General features: G+C 40.0%; 1 long non-coding RNA gene across 1 annotated transcript in view; it reads right to left on the reverse strand.

Annotated features, from left to right (window-relative positions):
• The window catches only part of LOC105379452 (uncharacterized), a 70,033-nt gene extending 45,068 nt beyond the window's left edge, over nt 1-24,965 (reverse strand). The window contains exon 1 of the long non-coding RNA XR_950692.3: nt 24,814-24,965. This is a non-coding gene — a long non-coding RNA (uncharacterized LOC105379452). The remainder of the gene's footprint in view (nt 1-24,813) is intronic.
• Nucleotides 24,966-25,271: the final 306 nt, after the last annotated feature.

The following is a 25,271-nucleotide window of genomic DNA, read 5'->3' on the forward strand; positions in this document are numbered from 1 at the left end:
CCAGCACAAATATTCTTCAGGAATAAAGTGGAACATCAAGAAGAAAGTAGAAACAATAAAAAGAGCAAAACTTTGGGTAAATACAGGTTTTCCTTCTACTCTTGAATTTCCAAATTATGTTTGACTATTGAAGTAAAAATTATAATAATGTCTGATGTGATTCTCGATGTATGTAGAAAAAATATTTAAGACCATTATATTATTATTATTATTATTATTTTTGAAACAGAGTCTCCTTCTGTCACCCAGGCTGGAGGCAGTGGCACGATATCGGCTCACTGCAAGCTCTGCCTCCTGGGTTCACGCCATTCCCCTGCCTCAGCCTCCCGAGTAGCTGGGACTGCAGGTGCCTGCCACTACGCCCAGCTAATTTTTTGTATTTTTTAGTAGAGACGGGGTTTCACTGTGTTAGCCAGGATGGTCTCGACCTCCTGACCTGGTGATCCGCCTTGGCCTCCCAAAGTGTTGGGATTACAGGCGTGAGCCACTGCGCCCGGCCAAGACCATTATATTATAAATGGAGAGGGAAAGAGACACAAAAGGGGATATAATTTCTATACTTTAACTGAACTGGTAAAATATTGATACCAGCAGAATATGCTGTTACGTGTGTATAATTTAATACCTAAAGGACTCCCAAAAAGCTATACAGAGAGATATACCCAATAACACTAGAGATAACAAAAAAATGGAATTCAAAAAAAAAAAAATGAAGTAGCCCACAGTGAAACAGGAGAAAGAAAAACATAGATGTAAGAAACAAAGAATAGACACAAAACAAAAAAAGAAGACTTAAACTCTAAAATATCAGTAATTACATTAAATGTAAATAGTTTAATTTAGAAGATTCTAAAAAAAAAAAAAACCCCAAAAAAGTATACAAATGAAGAAGAAATTTGAGCTTTCAAGGGATAGGAATCATGGGGGTAGGAAGGTGACAGTAAGGGGTTGCATGAGGGAGATCTCTGTGATGAAGGAGATCTCTGTGGTGAGGGAGATCTCTGTGGTGTGGGAGATCTCTGTGATGATGGAGTATTTCTGTATTTTAATTTCTGTGGTGGTTACACAAATCTACACATGATAAAATGACAAAACTATACAAACCATATTATGCCATTGTCAAAATCCAAACTTTGACATTGTGCTACAGTTATGTAAGATACATCTATTAGGGAAATTGAGTGAAGGGTATGAGGAAACTGTATTATCTGTGAAACTTTCTGCAAACCTATAATTATTTCCAAGTAAAAGTTTAAAAGACTCTTACAAAGAAACACAGAGATAAAAATATCAATGATTCAATAAAAGGATGGCAAATATACTCTCAGATAAACAAGACTAGGAAAATTTTGCCATAATCATATTATTCTACATCACTAAAGGAATTTCTTATAAAAAGAAGGGAAGTGACAACAGATGGATATTCCAGAATGCAAGAATAATTAAAGCACTGAGACTGATAAATATAGGAGTTAATCTAAGTGAACGTTGGCCATTGAAAAGCAATAGCATTTTACACACCTAGTAACAGATCCTCAAAATAGATGAAAGAAAAGTTGACAGAACTGAAAAGATAAATATGCAATTCTACAATAATAATAATTGGAGACTTCAACACCCCACATTCAATAAGAAATATATAACAAACAGAACATACGTAAGAAAATGGAGGACTTGAACAACACTATAAACCAGGTGGATCTAAGAGGCATACACAGAATACTCTACCCAACAACAACAGCAAACAAATTCTTAAAGGCACATGAGACATTTCTCCAAGACAGACCATATGTTAGGCCACAAATTAAATCTCAATAGATTTTAGAAGATAGTTGCCATACAAATGGTATCTTCTCAGACCACAACAGGATGAAGTTAGATATCAATAACAGAAAGCAAACAAAAAAGAAATGGAGATCTGCTATTACATGAAATGGACACTGCATTTCAAAAACTTAGTGTAATGGGAAAAGTTTCCTTATCCCCCAGCAGGGCGTGTGATGGGGGTGTGGCTCACTTCTTTGGTGCCCTGCTACTCATACCTCTAGGGGAACCATGCAGACAGGCAGGGCATGGGAAGCGCTGGCACCATGGCAGCCTCCAAGGTTGAGTGTTTACAACTTCTGAAGCCCCAGTGGGCATATATTACAGTTAACTCTTTCAGTTTTGTGGTCTGCAGGTGGCTTGTGTTAATTAGCTCAATTACACACTGTGCCTTATCGCAAGGACAGAGGGCTTTTTGTATCCTGGGTTCTTGCCTTGGTGTACCAAAAATATTAGATCACACGTGGGTTTGGAGAATGAGTGCAAGGTTTTATTGAGTGGAAGTAGCTCTCAGCAGATGGAGGGGAGCCAGAGGGGGGATGGATTGGGAAGGTGGTTTTCCCCTGGAGTGGAGCCGCTCAGTAGCCAAACTCTCCGACTGAATTCCCCTCAGCGTTTCGTCATTCCACTGGTGTCTGCCAAAGTGTTCCTCTGCCTGTGTGTTCCTCTCAATGTCCAGCCATTTGAGTGTCCTTCCACTTGTGTGTGTTCCTCTTGATGTCCAGCTTCTGTGTCTCTGCCCGCTAAGGTCTCAGGGTTTTATAGGCACAGGATGGGGGCATGGCAGGCCAGGATGGTCTTGGAAAATGCAACATATGGGAACGAAAGCAGAAATATCTGTCCTCACCTAGGTCCATGGGCACAGGCCTGAGGGTGGAGCCCTAGCCAGGGACCTTCTCCTCTACCCAACACTGCCCTGCCCTCCTCCTATATCATTAGTACAAAAGAAAGAATGTAAGATATCTCGATACTAATTCCTTTCATTGATGATGTATTGGAATGGTATGATAATACTACGAATATATTAAGCTAAATAGAGTATACTATTAAAAATATTTTTAAAGAAGGAAAACTAGAAAATTCAAAAATTTGTGGAAATTAAACAACACATTCTTTTTTTTTTTTTTTTTTTTTTTTTTTTTGAGACGGAGTCTCGCTCTGTCGCCCAGGTCGGACTGCGGACTGCAGTGGCGCAATCTCGGCTCACTGCAAGCTCCGCTTCCCGGGTTCACGCCATTCTCCTGCCTCAGCCTCCCGAGTAGCTGGGACTACAGGCGCCCGCCACCGCGCCCGGCTAATTTTTTGTATTTTTAGTAGAGACGGGGTTTCACCTTGTTAGCCAGGATGGTCTCGATCTCCTGACCTCATGATCCACCCGCCTCGGCCTCCCAAAGTGCTGGGATTACAGGCGTGAGCCACCGCGCCCGGCCAACAACACATTCTTAAACAAGCAATGGATCAAAAAAGAAATTGCAAATGAAATTAGAAAACAGAGATGAATGAAAATGAAAACACAACATACCAAAACTTGTGGGATGCACTGAAAGCTGTGCTCACAGGGAAATGTATAGCTATAAATAACTATATTGAAAAGGACATTCCAAATCAGTAACTTAACTTTCCACCTTAAAGAATGAGGATATAAAGAACAAATTAAACTCAAAACTAGAAGGAAATAAACAATAAAGATTAGAGCACAGAAAAACAAAACGGGGACTAGAAAAACAATAGAGAAAAATCAATAAAATCAAAAGCTGGTTTTTTGTAAAGATCAACAAAATTGACAAACTTACCTAGAAAGACTAAGAAGAAAAGGGAAAACATGCAAATGACAAAAATTAGACATGAGAATGGGGACAATACTAGTGATGTTATAGAAATAAAGAATTAAGAGTACTGTGAGCAATTGTATGCCAAACAAATAACCTAAAATAAATGCATAAATTTCTTAAAACACACAAATTATCTAAACTGACTAAAAAGAAGAAACCAAAGTGATTAACAAATATAAATTTTAACAGATATAACAAATAAAGAAAGAGAGAGAGAATTCTGGAATGGCAAATTAAGAAGCACCGGGAAACTGTCTCCCCCAACTAGACACAATTGCATTGATAGAATATGTCTGACGTAATTCTTTTTTTTTTTTTTTGAGACAGAGTCTTTGCTCTGTCAACCAGGCTGGCATTCAGTGCCACGACCTGGACTCACTGCAAGCTCCGCCTCCTGGGTTCATGCCATTCTCCTGCCTCAGCCTCCCTAGTAGCTGGGACTACAGGCGCCTGCCACCACACCGGCTAATTTTTTGTATTTTTTAGTAGAGACGGGGTTTCACGGTGTTAGCCAGGATGTTCTTGATCTCCTGACCTGGTGATCCACCCGCCTCGGCCTCCCAAAGTGTTGGGGTTACAGGCGTGAGCCACTGCAGCCAGCCTGATGTAACTCTTTTGGAACTCTAGAGTCTGTTAAAGGTTTGCGACTTCCAGGGAAAGGTTGGATGGTAAATTGCATTAATTTTGTCAATTTCAGCTCTTAGCACAGTAGCAACTATCCATCCCTTACCTCCACTCACATGGCAGGTAGCTGTGCATGCATTCCAATAGTAGTTTCCATTCAGCTTGCAGAGGCCAGGGTGGCCAAATAGTACCCTGTCCTCCAAATATCAGAGATCTATTCTCTGATTGCTAATTGCTGCTTCTGATCTCAGATATTCTGATAAAGGATTAATATCCAGACTATATGAAGAACTCTCAGATCAGAATATCTCAGACATTCTGATAAAGGATTAATACCCAGACTATATGAAGAACTCTTAATACTTGATATGGTTTGGCTCTGTGTCCCCACCGAAATCTTATGTTGAATCGTAATCCTCACATGTCGGGGGGACCTGGTGGGAGGTGACTGAATCATGGCGGTGGACTTCCCTCTTGCTGTTCTCATGCTATTGAGTGAGTTCTCACAAGATCTGGTTGCTTGAAAGTGTGTGGCACTTCCCCCTTCACTCTCTCTTTCTCTCCTACCACCATGTGAAGAAAGTCCTTGGTTCCCTTTCATCTTCCGCCATGATTGTAAGTTTCCTGAGGCCTCTCAGTCATGCTTCCTGTTAAGCATGCAAAACTGTGAGTGAATTAAACCTCTTTTCTTCATAAATTACCCAGTTTCAGGTAGTTCTTTATAGCAGTGTGAAAACGGACTAATGCAATACTCAACAACAAAAAACAAACAAACAAACATTTAAAAATGGGCAGACGACTAGAATAAACATTTCTCCAAAGAAGACCTACAAATAGCCAATAAATACATAAAGAGATGTCCAACATCATTAGTAGATAGAAAAATACAAATCAAAACCACGAGATACCATGTCACACCTACAAAGATGGCTATACAAATAATAATAAAAATAATAATTGAAAAATAATAAATACTGGTGAGAATGTGGAGAAATTGGAACGTGCATTAAGGGTGGAAATGTAAAATGTGGTGCAACTGCTTTGTAAGATAATTTGGCAGTTTCTCAAATAGTTAATCTTAAGACTACCAAATGACTCAGCAATTCCTCTCCTAAGTATGTATAGAAAACAATGGAAAGCAAGGACTAAAGCAGGTATTTGTGTACTAATGTTCATATCAGCATTATTCATAACATCCAAAAGGTGGAAGCAATCCAAGTGTCCATCAACAGATGGATAGATAAAGAATATGTGGCATTGTGATGGAATACTATTCAGCTATAAAAAGAAATAAAATTTTTATATTTGCTACAACATGAATGAACCTTGAAAATATTATGCTTTGTTTAATAAGGCAGATATAGCAGGACAAATATCATACAATGCCATGTATATAAGGTACCTAGAGTAGGCAAATTTACAGACAGAAAGTAGAATCAAGCTTACTAGAGGATAAGGAGTGGGGAAATGGGTACTTATTGATTAATGACTACAAAGTTTATGTTGAGGATAATAAAAATTTTTGGTGTAGGGGCCAAGTACGGTGGCTCACACCTGTAATCCCAGCACTTTGGGAGGCCGAGGCAGGCGGATCACGAGGTCAGGAGATCGAGACCATCCTGGCGAACATGGTGAAACCCCGTCTCTATTAAAAATACAGAAAAATTAGCCGGGCGTGGTGGCGGGCGCCTGTAGTCCCAGCTACTCTGGAGGGTGAGGCAGGAGAATGGCATGAACCCAGGAGGTAGAGCTTACAGTGAGCAGGGGTCGTGCCACTGCACTCCAGCCTGGGCGACAGAGCAGACTCCGTATAAAATATATATATATATATATATATATATTTTTTTTTTTTGGTGTAGATAGTAACAATAGTTATATAACATTGTAAATATATATTTAATGCTACTGAACTGCATACTCACAAATGGTTACAATGATAAAAAGTATGTTATGTATATTTTACCACAATAAAAAATAGAAAAAAATAATGGCATCACCTTGTAGAATGTTTAAGATAAAAAATGAAATTTTATTAACAGCAGAATAAAAAGAGAGGAAGGAAAATAAAGTAAAAGAGTCTTCTAATGCTCCTTTATCATTTGGTATGAGGTCAAGATACAGATTAACTGAGACACTGATCAATTAAGTGCTGTAGTGCTCAATTTTATGTGTTCAACTTTACTAGGCCACATGGTGCCCAGACATTTGGTCAAACATTATTCTGGATGTGTCTGTGAGAGTATTTCTGGATAAATTAACATTTGAATCAGTAGACTGAGTAAGGCAGATTGTGCTCCCCAATGAGAATGGGCCTCATTCAATCAGCTGAAGGCCTAAATAGAACAAGAAAGCTGACCTTTTCTTTCATGCCTGACTGTTGGAGCTGGGATATGCATCTTTTACTGCCTTCAGACTTGAACTGAAAAACGGATTCTTTTTAGGTCTCAAGACTGCTGGCTTTCAGACTGTGTGTGTGTGTCCTGTTGGTTCTGTTTTTCTGAACAATATGGATATTAATATAGTATCTATGTTATAATTATTACAATAAAAATAAAAATATTATACAACTTCTAAATTACAAGGGGGGAAATTAGATAAGAAAATATAAACAACCTAAGATAAAAGAAAATGGAACATGGATAAACTACGAACACAGATATAATGGAAAATACACACCTATATATATCAGTAATTGTTTTAAACATAAACTGACTAAACTATTTATTTTAAAGTAAAAATGAACAGACTATAACACAAAACCCAATTTGCTCCTGTTTTCACAAGACATATATAAAACATTAGGATACAGAAAGGTTAATGATTTAAAAAGTAAAAAGGCATACCAGGAAAATATTAACCATAAAAGCTAATATAGACATGTTATTATTAGGAAGATAAAATAATTATAATATATATACATCTAATTACCTAGCCTCAACACTCATAAATAAAAACATCCCTAGAACTACAAAGAAAATCCTCTACTCTGATTATTTTTCTTTTTAACACATTTTTATCACTAATTAATAGAAGAAACTAAGAGGATTTAGAAGATTTGAACCTCATAAAACTGTCACTCAGTCAAATGCTGCCAAAATACACATCATTTTCAAGCACATACAGAACATTTATTTAAAAAGAAGCACACACTGAACCATAAATAAAATCTCAACAAATTTCAAATGATGGAAAATCTACAGATATTTTCTGATAAGGAAGCCATTAATCTGGAGAAAAATAAAAACATCAAAAATATCTAGAAAAATATGGAAATTAATAAACACGTATTTCATTTACCCATAAGTCAAAAAGAAATCTAAAAATAAGTAGAAAATATACAGATGTCTATAAGAATAATTAGTTCAAAATTACTGTAGGAAAATATATACAGTACATCTCTCTAATAAAAAAATTTACAATAAAAATCCCCTCCACGAGATGGGCCAGCCGAGATAGTCAAATAAAAATAACAAAAGATATCCAGATTGAAAAAGAAGAAGTAAAACTATCTCTACTTATACATGACCTAAGTTTTGTATACAGATAATTCAAAAGAACACCCCGGAAAACTATTAGAACTAATGAGTTCAGCAAGTTTGAAGGATAAAAATCAATATTAAAAATTAATTTTATTTTTATATGTTAACAATGAACATTCAGTGAATGAAATTAAGAAAACAATTTCATTTGACATGTGAGGTAATTCAGGAATAGAAAACCAAATACCACATGTTCTCACTTATAAGCTAAGCTATGGGTAGGCAAAAGCATACAGAATGTTATGATGAACATTGGAGACTCAGAAGGGGAAGGGATAAAAAACTACTTACTGGGTACAATGTACACTCCTCAGGTGTCAGGTGTACTAAAATCTCAGACTTCACCACTACACAATTCATCCATGTATCCAAAAACCACTTCTACCCCTAAAGCTACTGAAGTAAAATATATATATATATATATATATATATATATACACAATTCCATTTGAAATGACATCAAAAAGAATAAAATACTAAGGTATAATTTAACAAAAGAATTGCAAGATTTGTATACTAAAAACTACAAACCAGTTTTAAAAGAAATTAAAGATCTAAATAAATGGAAAGATATTACCTAGACAATATTTTTGTTGTTGTTGTTGTTGTTGTTTGTTTGTTTGTTTTGAGGCAGAGTTTCACTCTTGTTGCCCAGGCTGGAGTACAATGGCACAATCTCGGCTCACTGAAACCTCCCCCGCCTCTCGAGTTCAAGCGATTCTCCTGCCTCAGCCTCCCAAAGACTTAATATTGTTAAATGACCATACTTTGTAAGCTGATCTACAGATTCAACACAATCTCTATCAAAATCTTAGCTAGCTCTTTTTCAGAAACTGACAAACTGATCTTAAAAGTTCTGAAAATTCAGGGACCAAGAATCCCCAAAACAATTTTGAAAAAGAATAAATTTAAAGGATTCCCGTTTAATGATTTTAAAACATAACACAAAGCTATAATAATAAAAACAGTGTAGTATGGCCATAAGAATAACACATAGATCAGTAGAACAGAATTGAGAATCTAAAAATAAATTATTATATTTATAGCCAATGAATTTTTCAGAAGGGTTCTAATAAAAGTGCTTGGAGAAAGAAGAGCCTTTTCAACAAATGTGGCTAGATAACTCAATGCCCTATCTCACACCATACACAAAAAGCTTATTCAAAAAGATTAAAAGCCTAAGTATAAGCATAAAAATCTGTAAAACTTTTAGAAGAAAATAGAGGAGTGAAATTTTCTGACCTTGGGTTTAGGCAAAGATTTTTAAGGTACAACAGCAAAAGCACGAGCAATGAAAGAAAAAATAAATTCGACTTCATCAAAATTTAAAAGTTTCGTGCTACAAACGATACCATCAAAAAAAGACAAAACTTGCAGAAATGAATAAAATATTTGCATGCCATATATCTGATAAGGGTCTTATATCCAGAATATAAAGGAATCATACCACTCTCAATAGTAGCAAGGCAAATAAACCAAATACAATATAGGCAAAAGATTTAAATAGGCATCTCTCCAAAGAAGATGTACAAATATCCACAAACATATGAAAATTGGCTCAACATCACTATTCATTATGGAAATGCAAATCAAAATCACGTCTACAAAGACAGCTATAATCGAAAAGGCAGACAGTAAAAACTTTTGGCAAGGATTTGAAGACATTTAAACCCTCACACACTGTTGATAAATATGTGAAATGATGCAGCCATTGTGGAAAACTGACAATTCCTCAAAAAATTAAACATAGAATTACAATACGATTCAATAATTCCACCATTAGGTGTGAAACATGTTCACACACACACAGACACAAATGTGTACATGGGCCAGGCGCGGTGGCTCACGCCTGTAATCCTAGCACTTTGGGAGGCCGAGACAGGCAGATCATGAGGTCAGGAGTGTGAGAGCAGCCTGGCCAATATGGTGAAACCCCATCTCTACTAAAAATACAAAAATTAGCCAGGCATGGTGGCACGTGCCTGTAGTCCCAGCTATTTGGGAGGCTGAGGCAGAAGAATCACTTGAACCCAGGAGGCAGAGGTTTGCAGTGAGCAGAGATCATGCCACTGCACTCCAGCCTGGGCGACAGAGCAAGACTCTCTCAAAAAAAAAAAGTGCACATGAATGTTCATAGCAGCATTATTCCTAATAGCCAGAAGTTGAAACAACCCAATGTCCAAAATGCCCATTTATCCTGATGAATGGATAAGTAAAATGTGGTACATAAATACAATGAAAGATTATTCTGTCTTAAAAAGAAATGAAGTATTGATATAGGCTACAACATAGATGAACCTTGAAAGCATTATACTAAGTAAAAGCAGCCAGCCACAAAAGACCATATATTGCATGGTTCCAATTCTATTAAATGCCCAGAATAAGCAGGTAGATTAGTGGTTACTTCGGGTAGAGAGGTGAGGAGTTGGTGAAGTGGGGAAGGAGAGGAGAATAGCAAGTGACTGCTAACGAGCATGGGGTTTCTTTTAAGGGAAATAGAAGTATTCTAAAGTTGAATAATGGTAATGGTTTTACAAAACTGTGAATATAGTAAAAAACATTAAATTACATACTTTAAATGGGTGAATATTATGGAATGTAAAATTATATCTCAATAAAACTGTTTTTTTAAAAAACCTTTTCTTATAGAACATATCTTCCCACCTTTCATTATAAAAACTCAGTGCTTAGGCAGGAACTAAAAGGAACTCTGTGTTTGTTTAATGTGTGATTGGGCTTAGGGAAAAGTACTGAATGAGCACAACAGATTGTAACATCAGTTACTTACGGTTTACCCAAATTTTGTATACGTATAATCCAAAAGAATACCCCAGAAAACGATTCCTAATAAATGAGTTCAGCAAGTTTGAGGGATAAAAATCAATATTAAACAATTAATTGTATTACTATACACTCGCAGTGAGCACTAAGTGAATGAAGTTAAGAAAACAACTCCATTTGAAATGTGAAGTAACTCAGAATAGAAAACCAAAACCATATATTCTCACTTATAAGCTAATATGGGTAGGCAAAGGCATAGTGTGGTATAAAGGACACTGGAGACTCAGAAGCGGGAGGGGAGAGCGGATGTAAAAACAGGAAATAGGATAGAAGAGGGGTGTAGAATAATTTTTGTTTGTTTGTTTGTTTTTTGAGACGGAGTCTCCTTCTGTCGCCCAGGCTGGAATGCAGCGGCGCGATCTCGGCTCACTGCAAGCTCTGCCTCCCAGGTTCACGCCATTCTCCTGCCTCAGCCTCCCGAGTAGCTGGGACTACAGGCGCCCGCCACCGTGCCCGGCTAATTTTTTTGTATTTTTAGTAGAGACGAGGTTTCACCGTGTTAGCCAGGATGGTCTCGATTTCCTGACCTCGTGATCCGCCTGCCTCGGCCTCCCAAAGTGCTGGGATTACAGGCGTGAGCCACCGCGCCCGGCCGAATAACATTTTTTTAATCATGTAGAAAAGAGAAGATATACACAGAATGTTAACTGAACAGGAAGAATATAAAATTCCGTGTATAATATCTGCAAGTGTAAAAATGTGCAGAAACAAAAAGCGTACAGTGTATGCCCTATTAAAATAATTCTATAGCAAGCTGGCTGGTTTCGTTTGGTTACAATTCAATTATTAGCTGGACAAAAACTGAGTTTTTTGGCCTATTCATGTAAGATCTTTGTTAAGAGGCATATACCATGGAAGTTTTTTTCTCTAAAAGGTTTAAAACCCAAAAGAGTATATGTAGATTCAAGAGAGCAGATAGGAAGCATGCCTTTCATTCTACTTACCCCTGAAATGCCACTAAGATGACAATAAGGGGGTTGTCTTTGTAAAAAACATAATAAACCCATAAGGATGAAAGAAGAGAAAACAGGAACTTGGGGATCTGGAAAAAAAGATGGATATGTGCCATTGACTTAGTAGTTTATATCACGTGTAGAAGAGGTTCGAATTATATGAAATGGTCCCACTCCCAAAGTTCAGGAATTGATGACATTAGGTACACTTGAGAGAAAGGACCATGTAAAGGACATTGCCAGGAGTCACATTACCAGGTCCCCCTCCCAGCTCTAGATAACTGCCTTTCCCCCAACATGTGTCCCATCTCAGGTCCTCTCAACCCCCTTTGACTTCAGCCATGGCTGCACTACCCTGAATGCTTTCTGCAATGAGCTTTACTGAAATTTCTCAGGACACAGCACACAGGTCTGCATAACCTGGGAGTGGAGAGGCATTAACTCCAAAGAAACAACCTGCTTCTGTTGGAGGACAATAGCCATCAAGAGGATGCATTTCATGTAGCTTCTCAAACAGTTCCAGCAGTATTCAGCCCTATCTGCAGAGGTGAGCCCCTATGTAATTTTTTTTTTTTTTTTGAGACAGAGTCTTGCTCTGTCGCCAGGCTGGAGTGCAGTGGCACGATCTTGGCTTACTGTAATCTTCTCCTCCTGGGTCAAGCAATTCTCCTGCCTCAGCCTCCCAAGTAGCTGGGATTACAGTCACCTGCCACTACACCCGGCAAATTTTTGTATTTTTAGTAAAGACAGGGCTTCACCATGTTGGCCAGGATGGTCTTGATCTCCTGACCCTATGTATTTTTTAATTGGCTTTTCCTTCTCTCTGTCATGTTCTCCAGGCCCTCACATTACTGTTTCCTACAGTCACTTCCCAAATAAAATAAAATGCCTACATACCTTTGTACTAGGCTCTGTTTTTAGAGAAAACCCAGGTTAAGAGAAATTTGGTTTAAATATTAGTAATAATGTATAAAAATAAAGTATAGCCCCCCAAACAAGCAATCATTAATCCCAAAGGAAAGAAAATGCTGTTCTTGAAAGGAAGAGTAATCATAGTACCACACACAGCTAAACTTAAAGTAGCAGGTGGGCAGTCATCACAACAAAGGCTGAGTGGTAATCTTACCTCACTGTTGTATGAGAAGATTAGATTGCTGCAAGAATGTGGATGAGAAGTGTGGATAGCTGTTGTATGGTACAATAAGAAACATCCCATGCCTGTAAGATTAATGATGGCCATAAAGCCCACTCAAACATCTCATGGGGTCTACACTATGTTTCACTTAGCAGTATGATGTAACCTGGCCTGGGGATTTCCAGCCCTGGCCGGGAGATGATTACTGGGTCCCTATGAAAATAAGACCTAAAAACCCTGATTGCCTAGGCCACCTCAGCACATATGCCACTTTCATGAATCTTAAAACAAAGCTTACCCTTATATGATTAAAATTCCTCTATGAAAGAAACACCTAATGACTGAAGCCAGATTAAATACAGGAATAAAAAAGGAGGAAGAATCCCCCAAACAATGAGAACAGTCTGTGGATGAAGACCCTCCCCATCAGGTGGTCATCTGACCCTGACTGTATCTGGCCTGTGCCGCCGGCCTGCTCCCGCTATCCCTCTCGTAAGAGCACTGCCAGAATGAACTGCTGGAGCATCAGACAGTGCTGAAGACTCACCTTGGATGCTGAATGAACAGAAGGCGAACAGCTGCGTCTGGAGAAGCTGGTTCACTAGGACCACCCGAGACTACTGAAGATCAGCTTCAGTAGTATCCAGTTATCAAACTGGATACAAGAATGAGATTTGTGTAAGCAAATGAGTAACCACACCCATTCTCACGGGAAAAGCAGGAGGGTAGAAAGGTGAAAAAAAAAAAAAACTTTCAGAAATACCCAAAATTAATATGTGTTAACAGGTTGCCACTGCTTCATTGTCCAGAGTTGGGGCAAGTCGTTTATCCATGATCCCAACTTTTCTGCTGGAATACAAAAAGAGTAATTATTGGCTGGGCATGGTGGCTCATGCCTGTAATCCCAGCACTTTGGGAGGCCGAGGTAGGTGGATCGCGAGGTCAAGAGATGGAGAACAGCCTGGCCAACATGGTGAAACCTCGTCTCTACTAAAAATACTAAAATTAGCTAGGCGTGGTGGTGTGTGCCTGTAGTCCCAGCTACTCGGGAGGCTGAGGAAGGAGAATCCCTTGAACCTGGGAGGCGGAGGTTGCAGTGAGCTGAGATCATGCCACTGCACTCCAGTCTGGTGACAGAGCAAGATTCCATCTAAAAAAGAAAAGAAGAAAGAAGAAAAAAGAAAGAAGAAAGGAGAAGAAGACGAAAGAAGAAGAAGAAGAGGAGGAAGAGGAGGAGGAGGAAGAGGAGGAGGAAGAGGAGGAAGAACAAGAGGAGGAAGAAGAAGGAGGAGAAGAAGAGGAAGAAGAATTATTGTGAAAAGGTTATATTGTGAGTATAAAGAGTAATTATTTTGAAAATATTTTCTCACTTTCCATTTTATCTTTTAACTGTCTGCAAGAAAGATAGAAAATGGCACAAACCTAAATCATTCTCTCTGCTCTCCATCATCTATCTACTCTCCATATTACTCAAGAGTACTGCTTCAAGCCTTTTAAAATTCTGTATTCCAAAGAGAACCAGCTTCCAAAATATGAGTTGTCAGGTCCTCTGAGTCTTGTTTGACATTTGACAACATCGGATACATTCCTCCAATGGCAACAGACAAGTGCAATCTTTTTAGGAAAAATAACCCATGTCTATTTTTGTTGTAGCTGAATTTTTGCATCCTCTTTTTTACCAGAAAAGGGATCTTGATACAAACCCCAAGAGAGTGTTCTTGGATCTTACACAGGAAAGAATTCAAGGTGAGTTGCAGAATAAAGTGGGAAGGGAGAGTTTATTGAAAGCCTCTAGGTTATAGAGTAAGGTATCCTCAGAAAGCAAGAACAGGAATGCCCCATCTTTGTTTTAAGTTTTTCTTACATATACATCTTCTTTATGTAAAGAATAAACTAAGCTTTGCCTATGTGCAGGTGGACTGACAGAATGACAAAATTTATTATTCTATTGATTTAAAGAAAACGATCCTTGACATTTTAGTGTACGAGTACATCAAAGCGTAACTACAACTATCTTGAAAGCATATATTGTTATGGGCATTGGGACATCTGGACTGCCTGTTATTGTAGGAGTTTGTCCTTGCAGGCATTACCACACTCTTTCCTTGGATGTGAACATGTTAGGACCATGAGTCATGACTGGCAAGGAATGCACCCTGCTAACTTGAAGACGGAGCTGATGTTAAAATGGTGTCACTCGGGCTCTCCTAGGCTTCTGCTTCCCTAACGCCCTTGAGGTGACTATTTTATTCTTGAGTATAAACTGTCAAATGCAAAAAGAAATGAAAGCATGTTCTGAAAATAGGATCCACTCTGTGGAATATACCCAAGTCATTTTCCTTCCTCATTCCCATGACCCGGATTCTACAGTTCCCACAGCAGAGCTGCCTGGACACTGGCCCTTCTAAGCCCACTTTCATTGATCTTTTTTATTTTTTATTTTTTATTACAACCATTGAATAGCCTCACACCTCACATTTTCAGGCAGTGAGCTCTGCTTTTTTGCATCTAGTGTGGGTTGATTTCCCATCTCAACATTAATCCCAAACTTTGTAAAGTACCTTTGTAAGGTGAGGCAGAAAGGCCGATTTCATCAGTTAGCCCAGGTACTCAAAGAAAATGTAGGCATTTATTTCTAAAACAATTGTATATGTTTAGGAAGGTAACTTTTGGATACAGTTACTGTCGACCTCAAACAATACTTGCCTGAAATCTCGTTGCATATTGACTACAGGGAATCAGACACTCCAAAGTTTGGGAGATGATGGTCCTGAACTCTAACAGGAATGATTTAGGTTGGTGTCATTTTCTGTCTTTGTTGCAGACAGTTAAAAGATAAAATGGCCTGGGTGCAGTGGCTCACACCTGTAATCCCAGCACTTTGGGAGGCCGAGGCAGGTGGATCAGGAGGTCAAGAGATTGAGACCATCCTGGCCAACATGGTGAAACCCCGTCTCTACCAAACACACACACACACACACACACACACTAGCTGGGCGTGGTGGCACACACCTGTAGTCCCAGCTACTTGGGAGGCTGAGGCAGAAGAATTGCTTGAACCTAGGAGGAGGAGGTTGCAGTGAGCCGAGATTGCACCACTGCACTACAGCCTGGTGACAGAGCGAGATTCCATCTCAAATAATAATAATAATAAATAAATAATAAAATGGAAAGTAAGAAAATATTTTCAAAAGGTTATATTTTCTAGCAAACAATAAATGGATTAACTTGAACTCTCCAGAGTTACAAAAGGCAGGGAGCTCTCCATTGCTGAATGTGTTCCAGAAGAGGCTGGAAACTGAATAGAAAATTCATGAATCGGCTGGGTGCGGTGGCTCACGCCTGTAATCCCAGCACTTTGGGAGGCCGAGGTAAGCAGATCACAAGGTCAGGAGATCCAGACCATCCTGGCTAACACGGTGAAACCCCGTCTCTACTAAAAAAATACAAAAAAAATTAGCCAGGCGTGGTGGTGGGTGCCTGTAGTCCCAGCTACTCAGGAGGCTGAGGCAGGAGAATGGCTGAACCCAGGAGACGGAGCTTGCAATGAGCCGAGATCGCCCTACTGCACTCCAGCCTGGGCGACAGAGCGAGAATCCGTCTCAAAAAAAAAAAAAAAAATTCATGAATCAAAAGTGCAGTTGTGCTTCTAGCACATTAAAGCCTCTTCTAATCTCAAGACTGAAAAGTTAACAAAACCTAACAATTTCATGGGTGAGAAACAAGCGACTCCTATGAGAAAGTAATTGGTAAAGTGGGGAGAGCCATGCAAATAAAATATACTCTTGTCACCATTCAAGGTCACTCCAAACCATAAGCCTATTCTGGAGGCTCCTGGATTAACTACAGAAATTAAAAATGGACAAATGCTTTCCCCACCTACATGCACAGATTAAATCGAGTGTTTCGAAGCACCAAACAGAGGCATTTCTTTCTCTCTCCTGTTTTTGTTTTTGGCATCAGCTTCCATTCTCCCTACTTTTCCAGCCATGTTCCTCAAGCAGGAACTCAGGGAGAGGCCTCCTCCCTTTGGTTGATGAGTGTGATGAATGCGATGGGGTGACTCCTACCGGACCCCAACATGATTGTCTTTGATTACAAGCTTCCACTGCTTTTTTAAAAGGGGGAGCTAAAAAATTGAATACACTTTCCTTGTTATCCAAAAACATCAGGATGGGCAAGAACAGCAGAGCTGCCCCATGAGGTGAGGCCAATCTTCCCACCTTATCTGTCAGTCACTTTTCTCATTAGAAGCACTGATTGTCTTAGGAGTGCAGGCTTATTTCCTTCTGGGTTATGATCTCTTCAATCTGACAATCTGCAGGAGATTTCTTAAGAACCTAATTGATTTACTGAACATGACACGTAAAATTTAACAGCCCAAATAATCAAAATGTTTTTGTGAGCTAAGCAGGATAATATCATTTTTTTAAAAAAGTCTGGTTATAGTACTTCTTATTGTAAAAAAACAGTTGACATATGCTGTTTTTTATATTTCAAAGCAATGTTGTTTTAAAGAGAAATTTAATATGTCTTCCATAAAGAATGATACTGTAGGGGTGGGGAGAGGAAACTGGAGAAGGAAAGCAAAGTTGAGAAGTTTATTCAGTTTATTCAATACAGAAGCTAACACACGGTTTTATTATTTCACATACGAGTGTGATAATGGCAAGAATTCCAGGATGCAGCGGCTGGACCGCCTGCTCAGTCTCACAAGGCTGAAATAAAGATGTAAGTTAATGTTTTCTTCCCTAGACCCCAGGCTCCTCTTCCAAGCTTACTCCTGCTATTGGCAGGATTAAATTCCTGGCATTGGAGGACTGGGGTCCTGGTTTCCTTGTTGGCTGCCAGCCAGGACCTGTCTTGCACCCTTCAGGCCACCCTCATTCCTGCTCTCTTGGCTCCCTCCGTTTCTGAACAGCAGTACACACTGCGTCATTCTCATACTCTGAATCTCTCTGACTTCTTCTACCAGTCAAAAAAAACACTCTGCTTCGAAACTGTGTGATGACATTAAGCCCACCAGATAGTGTCCCTACTCTACAGTCAACTGTGCCATATGACACAACATAGTCATGGGATTCCCTATTCTTGTGGGCTCTGAGGGATTCGGGTATGAAATCATGGGATCACATTGCGAATTCTGTCTACCACACATACGTAGAGAAAATATTTATTGGTTCATTTTATTTCTTATCAGATTTTTCTTTCTTCTCAATGAAATCAATATTTACTGTGCAATTGTGATACACCCCGCATGGATCAAGAGCTCTGCAGGAAAACTCCCACTGATGTATTTTACTGCCACCACCACAGTGCATACTCACAGATCACAAAATAGACCTCAGCAAATGTATTATAAAATGTGACCCAACAGGCTGGGCACGATGGCTCACTCCTGTAATCCCAGCACTTTGGGAGGCTGAGGTGGGCGGATCACGAGGTCAGGAGATCCAGACCATCCTGGCTAACACGGTGAAACCCCTTCTCTACTGAAAATACAAAAAATTAGCCGGGTGTGGTGGCGGGTGCCTGTAGTCCCAGCTACTCTGGAGGCTGAGGCAGGAGAATGGCGTGAACCCAGGAGGCGGAGCTTGCAGTGAGCCGAGATCCAGCCACTGCACTCCAGCCTGGGAGACAGAGCGAGACTCTGTCTCAAAAAAAAAAAAAAAAAAAAAAAAAAAAAAGCAGAACTGCTCACAGCTGTCCTAAAACCTCCTGATTGCCCATCAAAGCCTCCACATGTGCCTCCACCAGGAAAGTGTGTTCTTTCCACATGCTTGCTGATATCACAGACTTAACCTTCAACCTCAGGCTCTGAGGTTCACCCTGTCCTTCATCTTCATTTCACTGATCAACTCACGTTTCTCCTTTACTCCTATATGTGGAGTCCTATATGTGGAGTCCTATCATGACACGCATGTTCCCATGTGTCATGACAGGACTCCACAGGACATGAGAGCTGTTTAACAAGACTGTGCTGGGCAGGCTGGGCGTGGTGGCTCACGCCTGCAATCCCAGCACTTTGGGAGGCCAAGGCAGGCGGATCATGAGGTTAGGAGATGGAGACCATCCTGGCTAACACGGTGAAACCCCATCTCTACTAAAAAAAATACAAAAACAAAATTAGCCGGGTGTGGTGGCGGGCTACTTGGGAGGCTGAGGCAGGAGAATGGCATGAACTCAGGAGGTGTAGCTTGCAGTGAGCTGAGATGGCACCACTGCACTCCAGCCTGGGTGACAGAGGGAGACTCTGTCTTAAAAAAAAAAAAAAAAAAGACTCTGCTGGGCAGTAGTGATGCTTGTGCATAGGCAAGCCTGCATTTCCCAGCCCTTAACATTAGGCAGGGCCTCATGACTAGTTCTGATCAATGAAATGTGAGCAAAAGTGAGGCCAATGCTGTCAAAGTCCCAGTGTGGTTCTCTGTTCTCTTTCTCCTGCTGCAGCGACCAGAAAGGCCACAAATTCCACCAGAAGCAGTGACAAGAGGATGGAGCCGTTGTCAGCCTAGACTCCTGAGTGTCAGTGTGAAACAGAGCTCCCCATCCACCCTCACTGGACATCTAGCATGAATGAGAAATAATCCTTTTTTTTTTTCTTTTTTTTTTTGAGACGGAGTCTTGCTCTGTCACCCAGGCTAGAGTGCAGCGGCAAAATCTCAGCTCACTGCAACCTCTGTTTCCCAGGTTCAAGCAATTTTCCTGCCTCAGCCTTCCAAGTAGCTGGGATTACAGGCGCCCGCCACCACACCCGGCTAATTTTTGTATTTTTAGTGAGAAGGAGTTTCACCATGTTGGCCAGGCTGGTCTCAAACTCCTGACCTCATGATCTACCCGCCTCGGCCTCCCAAAGTGCTGGGATTACAGGCATGAGTCACTGCGCCTAGCCCCTTTGTTGTTTTAACCTACAGAAATTTTGAAATTGCTTTACCAGTGCTTAATGTAAATTGTCCCGATTAAAATAAAAACTAAAGAACAGTATTTAAATGTGACATAATCAAGCATTCTCTTTTACCTATGGAAATATTTTAAGTGAATTCTGATAATCCACAATTCATGTAATGTTTTAAATTTTAAATTTCAGTTTGTTTCACACTTCTCTGAAATACTTTTTTTCTCCATAGCTCAGCATACTGATTTTCACAAAGACATGTAATGTATACAGTAACATTTTAAACGTGGCTTTGAGAGATGAGATGAGAGGTGAAGCAGAGAGGTGCTAATGGCTCCAGTCACTGAGGGGCAGTGAGAAAGCAGTTCGAAGGGAGGAGGATGAGTGTGACGGTTACTGTCATGTGTCAGCTTGACTGGGCCACAGGATGCCCAGATAGTGGGTTAAACATTTCTGGGCATGTCTGTGAGGGTGTTTTCAAAAGAGGTATATATCTCATTAACTTTTTAATTGGCGTACTGAGTAAGGCAGATTGCCCTCCTCAATGTGAGTGGGCCCCATCCAATCCACTGAGGACTTGAATAGAACAAAAATGTCAGAGGAAGTGAGAATTCTGTCTCTGCCTTTCCCTGCCTGACTGCTTGATCCAGGACATTGCTTGGTTTCTGTCCTTGAACTCAGACTTACACCATCAGTGCTCCTGATTCTCAGGCTTTCGGACTCAGACTGGAACTATACCACCAGCTTTCCTGGGTCTCTGTCTTACAGACACAAGACAGAAGATTCTCAGCCTCCACAATTTCAGAAATGCCCCCAGTGAGTGCTGGAAATCTCTGATCAAGTGATTTCGGAGTGGTATACTGCCTAAGACTTCATTGTGTTGGAAAACCACTCACCATTACCCCTAGCAACTCAGTAGCAAATGTTGACTTCCTGTTTTCACAATCTTATGCTCTACTATAGAGGATATAGTAACTACCTAGAGGTTATAGTAACAGAGGGATGAATGCTCCCACCAGGAGACGCAACAACGACTCTACTGAACTGGAGGTTAAGAAAGTCACCTGGCCACTTTGGGTTACTCATGCCTCTGAATCAACTGGCAAAGAAGGGAGTTATTGTGCTGGTTGGGGTGATTAATCCTGACTACCAAGAGAAAATTGGACTACTATTCCACAATGGAGATAAAGAAGAGTATGTCTGGAACATAGGAGGTCCCTCGAGGCACCTTTCAATATTATCATGCCTGGTGGTTAAGGTTGATGGAAAACTACAACAAACCAATCCAGGCAGGAACACTCATGGCCTAGACCCTTCAGGAATGAAGGTTTGGGCCACCACGTAAAGCAAAGAGCCATGTAGTGCTAGAGGGCTTACCGGAGGAAACAGCAATAGTGAACTGTTAAAGGAAGAAGCTAATTATAAACACTAACTACAGCCACAAGACAAATTATAGAAATGAGAACTTTGTCACATATATATCTTTCTTTCTTTCTTTTTTTTTTTTTCCGAGACGGAATCTCTCTCTGTCGCCCAGGCTGGAGTGCAGTGGTGTGATCTCGGCTCACTGCAAGCTCTGCCTCCCGGGTTGACGCCATTCTCCTGCCTCAGCCTCCCAAGTAGCTGGGACTACAGGCGCCCACCACCATGTCCGGCTAATTTTTTTTGTATTTTTAGTAGAGATGGGGTTTCACCATGTTAGCCAGGATGGTCTCGATCTCCTGACCTCGTGATCTGCCCTCCTTGGCCTCCCAAAGTGCTGGGATTACAGGCGTGAGCCACCGCGCCTGGCCGTCATATCTATATATTTCTTATTTAATTATAAATACACTTGTGTGTGTGTGTATGTGTGTGCGGGTGTGTGCGTGTGTGTGTGTGTCCTATTGGCTTTGTTTCTCTGGGAAGCTCTAACACAAAGAGGGTAATATGGTAATATTGTGACACTGGTAAGTGGTACAAACATCAGAGGTGCCAGGCTTTTCAAGGGTAGAAAAAGAAGAAATGATTTGGAAGTCGTAATGAGGCCTATGGAATTGGAGGGGGGATGATGACTAGAGAGAGGCCAATTTTCAATTAAGGCAAGAAATGGGAGAGAAGGTTTAAGTAAAGGATGTCTATATGAAAACTATACTGATCAGGAATTCCACAGAGCACAGAGAAAGGGTTTGAAGAGGAGAAGACTGATGGAAGATGGAGTCAGATTGAGGAACATTCACAAAAGTGGTGAAGGGTAGGGGTGAGAGAGGGAAATTCCAGGAGCCTGTGACAGCGGTAGTGGGGGAGGTGAGGGTCCAGATCTGTTTTCATGGGGAAAGAGCATAATAGGTTTATCATTAATGTAAGTACCCAGCCTGCTGGTGTGGCTGCCTTATGGTAACTGTGCCCTCTAAAAGACCACGTCTCTCATAAGCACCAGGAGTGTTTTGAACATGGTAGGCAAAAACTATGAGTGTGTTAATTTGAATTTAATTTCTTAGCAAATTCTGTGAAAAGATGAAGATGATTAATTCCACTTTTTTTGTATTTTCTTGTGGGCAGGAAGATCCTCCCAACTGCATATCCTGCTGCAGTATTTCCTCCCCCTGTGAGCTCACAGGCTTCTTGGTGTAATAGAATGACTCTGTTACAATTCTGTTGGCTGGAGGTTTCACCTGAGTTTCACAGGGAAGGCCAGGAGGAACTTTTAGTCAAAGCAGCAGATGTTTTTCTTTCCTGTATGTAAGTAGGAGTTTGAGTGGATCTTGGGACCTCATTGCACAAATGAAGCCAACTGAGATGCTTAAATATATATAAACATATGTCAGATGATTTTAACTTTTTCCACACTGGGCCAGGAGACCTCCAAATCAAGGTAGCACAGCAAGTTCATGCTTCAAAATTTCCCTCTTCTTTGCAAACAACAATAATAAATAAATCAAAAGAGGACACTGTCAAACAGACAGCAGGTCCAAAATGCAAAATAAAATGCCTGTGCCTTGGGATAGATGTGTGGAGAAGGAAGGGAAAGAACAGAGAAAAAGAAATGCCCCAAACACTTACCAATTAAAATCCATTTATATGTTATTAGCCAACCAAATATAGTATGGGTATTTTTTTAGAACTCAATAAACAGAGACCCCTAGAGGTATTTTTTCCTTGGTAGGTCCTTCATAGTTTTATGACAACAGTGTCCCTCCGTGCCCTGCCAGTCCTAACTCACCTCAAAAATGTCTAAATATTTTCATGAACAAAGTACCTAATTCTGGCCATACCACTAATTTTATTCACTTGCTTTTACATTTCTGGGCCTCGGTTTCTTTCTCTAAATGAGGATATTGGACTAGAATTTTTAAATATTTTTGGAGCACTCTAATTTTATCTTTCTACTTTCATAATGATATTAAAATATTTCAAATATGCTTGAGATTCTCATGGTTGTTATTTATATGTATTCGTTTAAGTAAGAAGAAATATGGTAAAAGTATTAAATATACTACAATAAAATGATTGTTTTAGTATTCCCAAACAGACAACAAACATAATTACACTGCAAGAAACTCAAGTGAAATATAGATTTGAAATTATTACTAATCACATCCAAATTGAGATTAACTTCTTAAACATGTAGAGGAAAATCTTAATCTATCCAAATAAATAATATGCCTCTAGCAAGAAAAAAGACTTCATTTTGGGTTGAGTTTTACAGATTATTCCCTTACTTCTCCTTAGTCAATACCTATCTAAAGCAGATGCATCTGACTCATTTAAAGTATCCAGTCAGGAATATGAAGGCCAAATCCACATCTTCCAAGCATGAAGCAAGGAAATAAGGTATAATGATTTTCTGTCAATGAAGCTCATGCATGAAATAAAACTGGGACTCACCATGCAGACTCAAAGCACACAATGACCAAAGGGCCAGAGATCAATCCAAGGTGACTACAACACAGCCCACAATGAAAAAGTCAGGAAAGTGTCTCCGTAAATCCATGCAAAGAATGAGAAAAATAGGAGGTAAAATAAAACTGATGAGTAATAGTATTAAACTTTGCACAAGTCCTGGAAATACAGCACAGTACAACCATGGATCCAATTAGGGGCATCTGGGCTTTTCTCGCCTCTTGAGTTAGAATCAGTTAGAACAGCATTGGTTCACAAAAATTGCATACCTGGCCAAAAAAAGTAGCTCTTGGTAATTATTTCCAAATGGCTGGAGAAAAGAAAGAGGTAACATAAAACATGTGATTGAAGAGTACTGCAGCCTTGGGGCAGAAGGCTGTAAGGAAGATGGTGAATAGGACTTTCTAGCTCTTGCTCCCCTGCAGAAACATCAATTGGAACAACTATCCATGCATAAAACCACCTTCACAAGAACTAAGGAAACCAGGTAGGAGATTTCAGAAAGGATGCACTAAAGAGATAGAAAGGACAGTTGGAGTAGTAGCCTGACTGTAGCTGATCAGTAGCCCCAGACTTTGGACAAACCCCAACTCCAGGCTATCCCCCACAGACTCAGGCTCTAGGCCCACCCCAGGGCCAGGCAGCCAAAGGCTCTGGACTGCTTGCAGCACCAGGCTGGTCCCCATGGTCCCAGGATTCAGACCTACCCAAGAACCAGGCCAACCGCTACAGCTCTCATCTCCAAACAGGCACCCACAGACCCACTCTTCATATTTTCCCCTGCAGCCACACATTACAGCAGACCCACAGCCCAGTTTCTTCCTGGCAGACTCCAGCACTGGATTAGCCCCCATGGACCCAGGCTCCAAGATGACCCCTGTAGACTCAGGTTTCAGGCCAGCACCTGGAGCCCCCAGACAAAGGTCAACCCTAATGGTCCTAGACTCCAGGCCAACACCCACACACCCAGCCCCTAGGACAACATTGTTTAAAGAAATAATCACTAAAAAATTCTTAAACCTGGGGAATAATATCAAGGTATAAGGACCAAATGTCTCCAATCAGATTCTATCCAAACAAGACTATAACAAAATGTATTATAATCAAACTATCAAAAATCAAAGACAAAGAGAGAATCCTAAAAGCAGCAAGAGAATAGAAATAAATCACATATATGAGAGTTCCAATAAGGCTAGCAGCATATTTCTTAGCAAAAACCTTACATGGCAGGAGAGAGCAAGATGATATATTCAAAGCCTCAAAGAAAAAAATATGCCAACTAAGAATACTGTACCTGCCAAAGCAGTTCTTCACAAATAAAAGTGAGATAAAGACTTTTCCAGACAAATAAAAGCTGACTTGTCTCACAAGAAATCCTAAAGGAAGCTCTTCAGGCTGAAAGAAAGAAAAGAATGCTCATTGGTGTCATGGAAACATGAGAAAGTATAAAACTCACTGCTAAAAGTAAGTACACAGTCAAATTCAGAATATTCTAATACTGCAGTGATGGTAAGTAAATCATCTGTGTCTTTAGTATGAAGATTAAATAAATATGTATTAAAAATAATAGCTATAATAATTTGCTAAGGGATATACAATTAAAAATATAAATTATGACATCAAAGCATAAATTGGGGGCAAGGGGATGGAGTAAAAGTGGAGACTTTTTTCTATGTGATCAAAGTTAAGTTGTTACCAAATATAAACAGTCCGTTATAAGAGGTTTTATGTAAGCCTAATGGTAACTACAAA

The sequence above is a fragment of the Homo sapiens genome, chromosome 9, assembly GCF_000001405.40.
Source record: "Homo sapiens chromosome 9, GRCh38.p14 Primary Assembly".
In the NCBI taxonomy this organism is placed as follows: domain Eukaryota; kingdom Metazoa; phylum Chordata; class Mammalia; order Primates; family Hominidae; genus Homo; species Homo sapiens.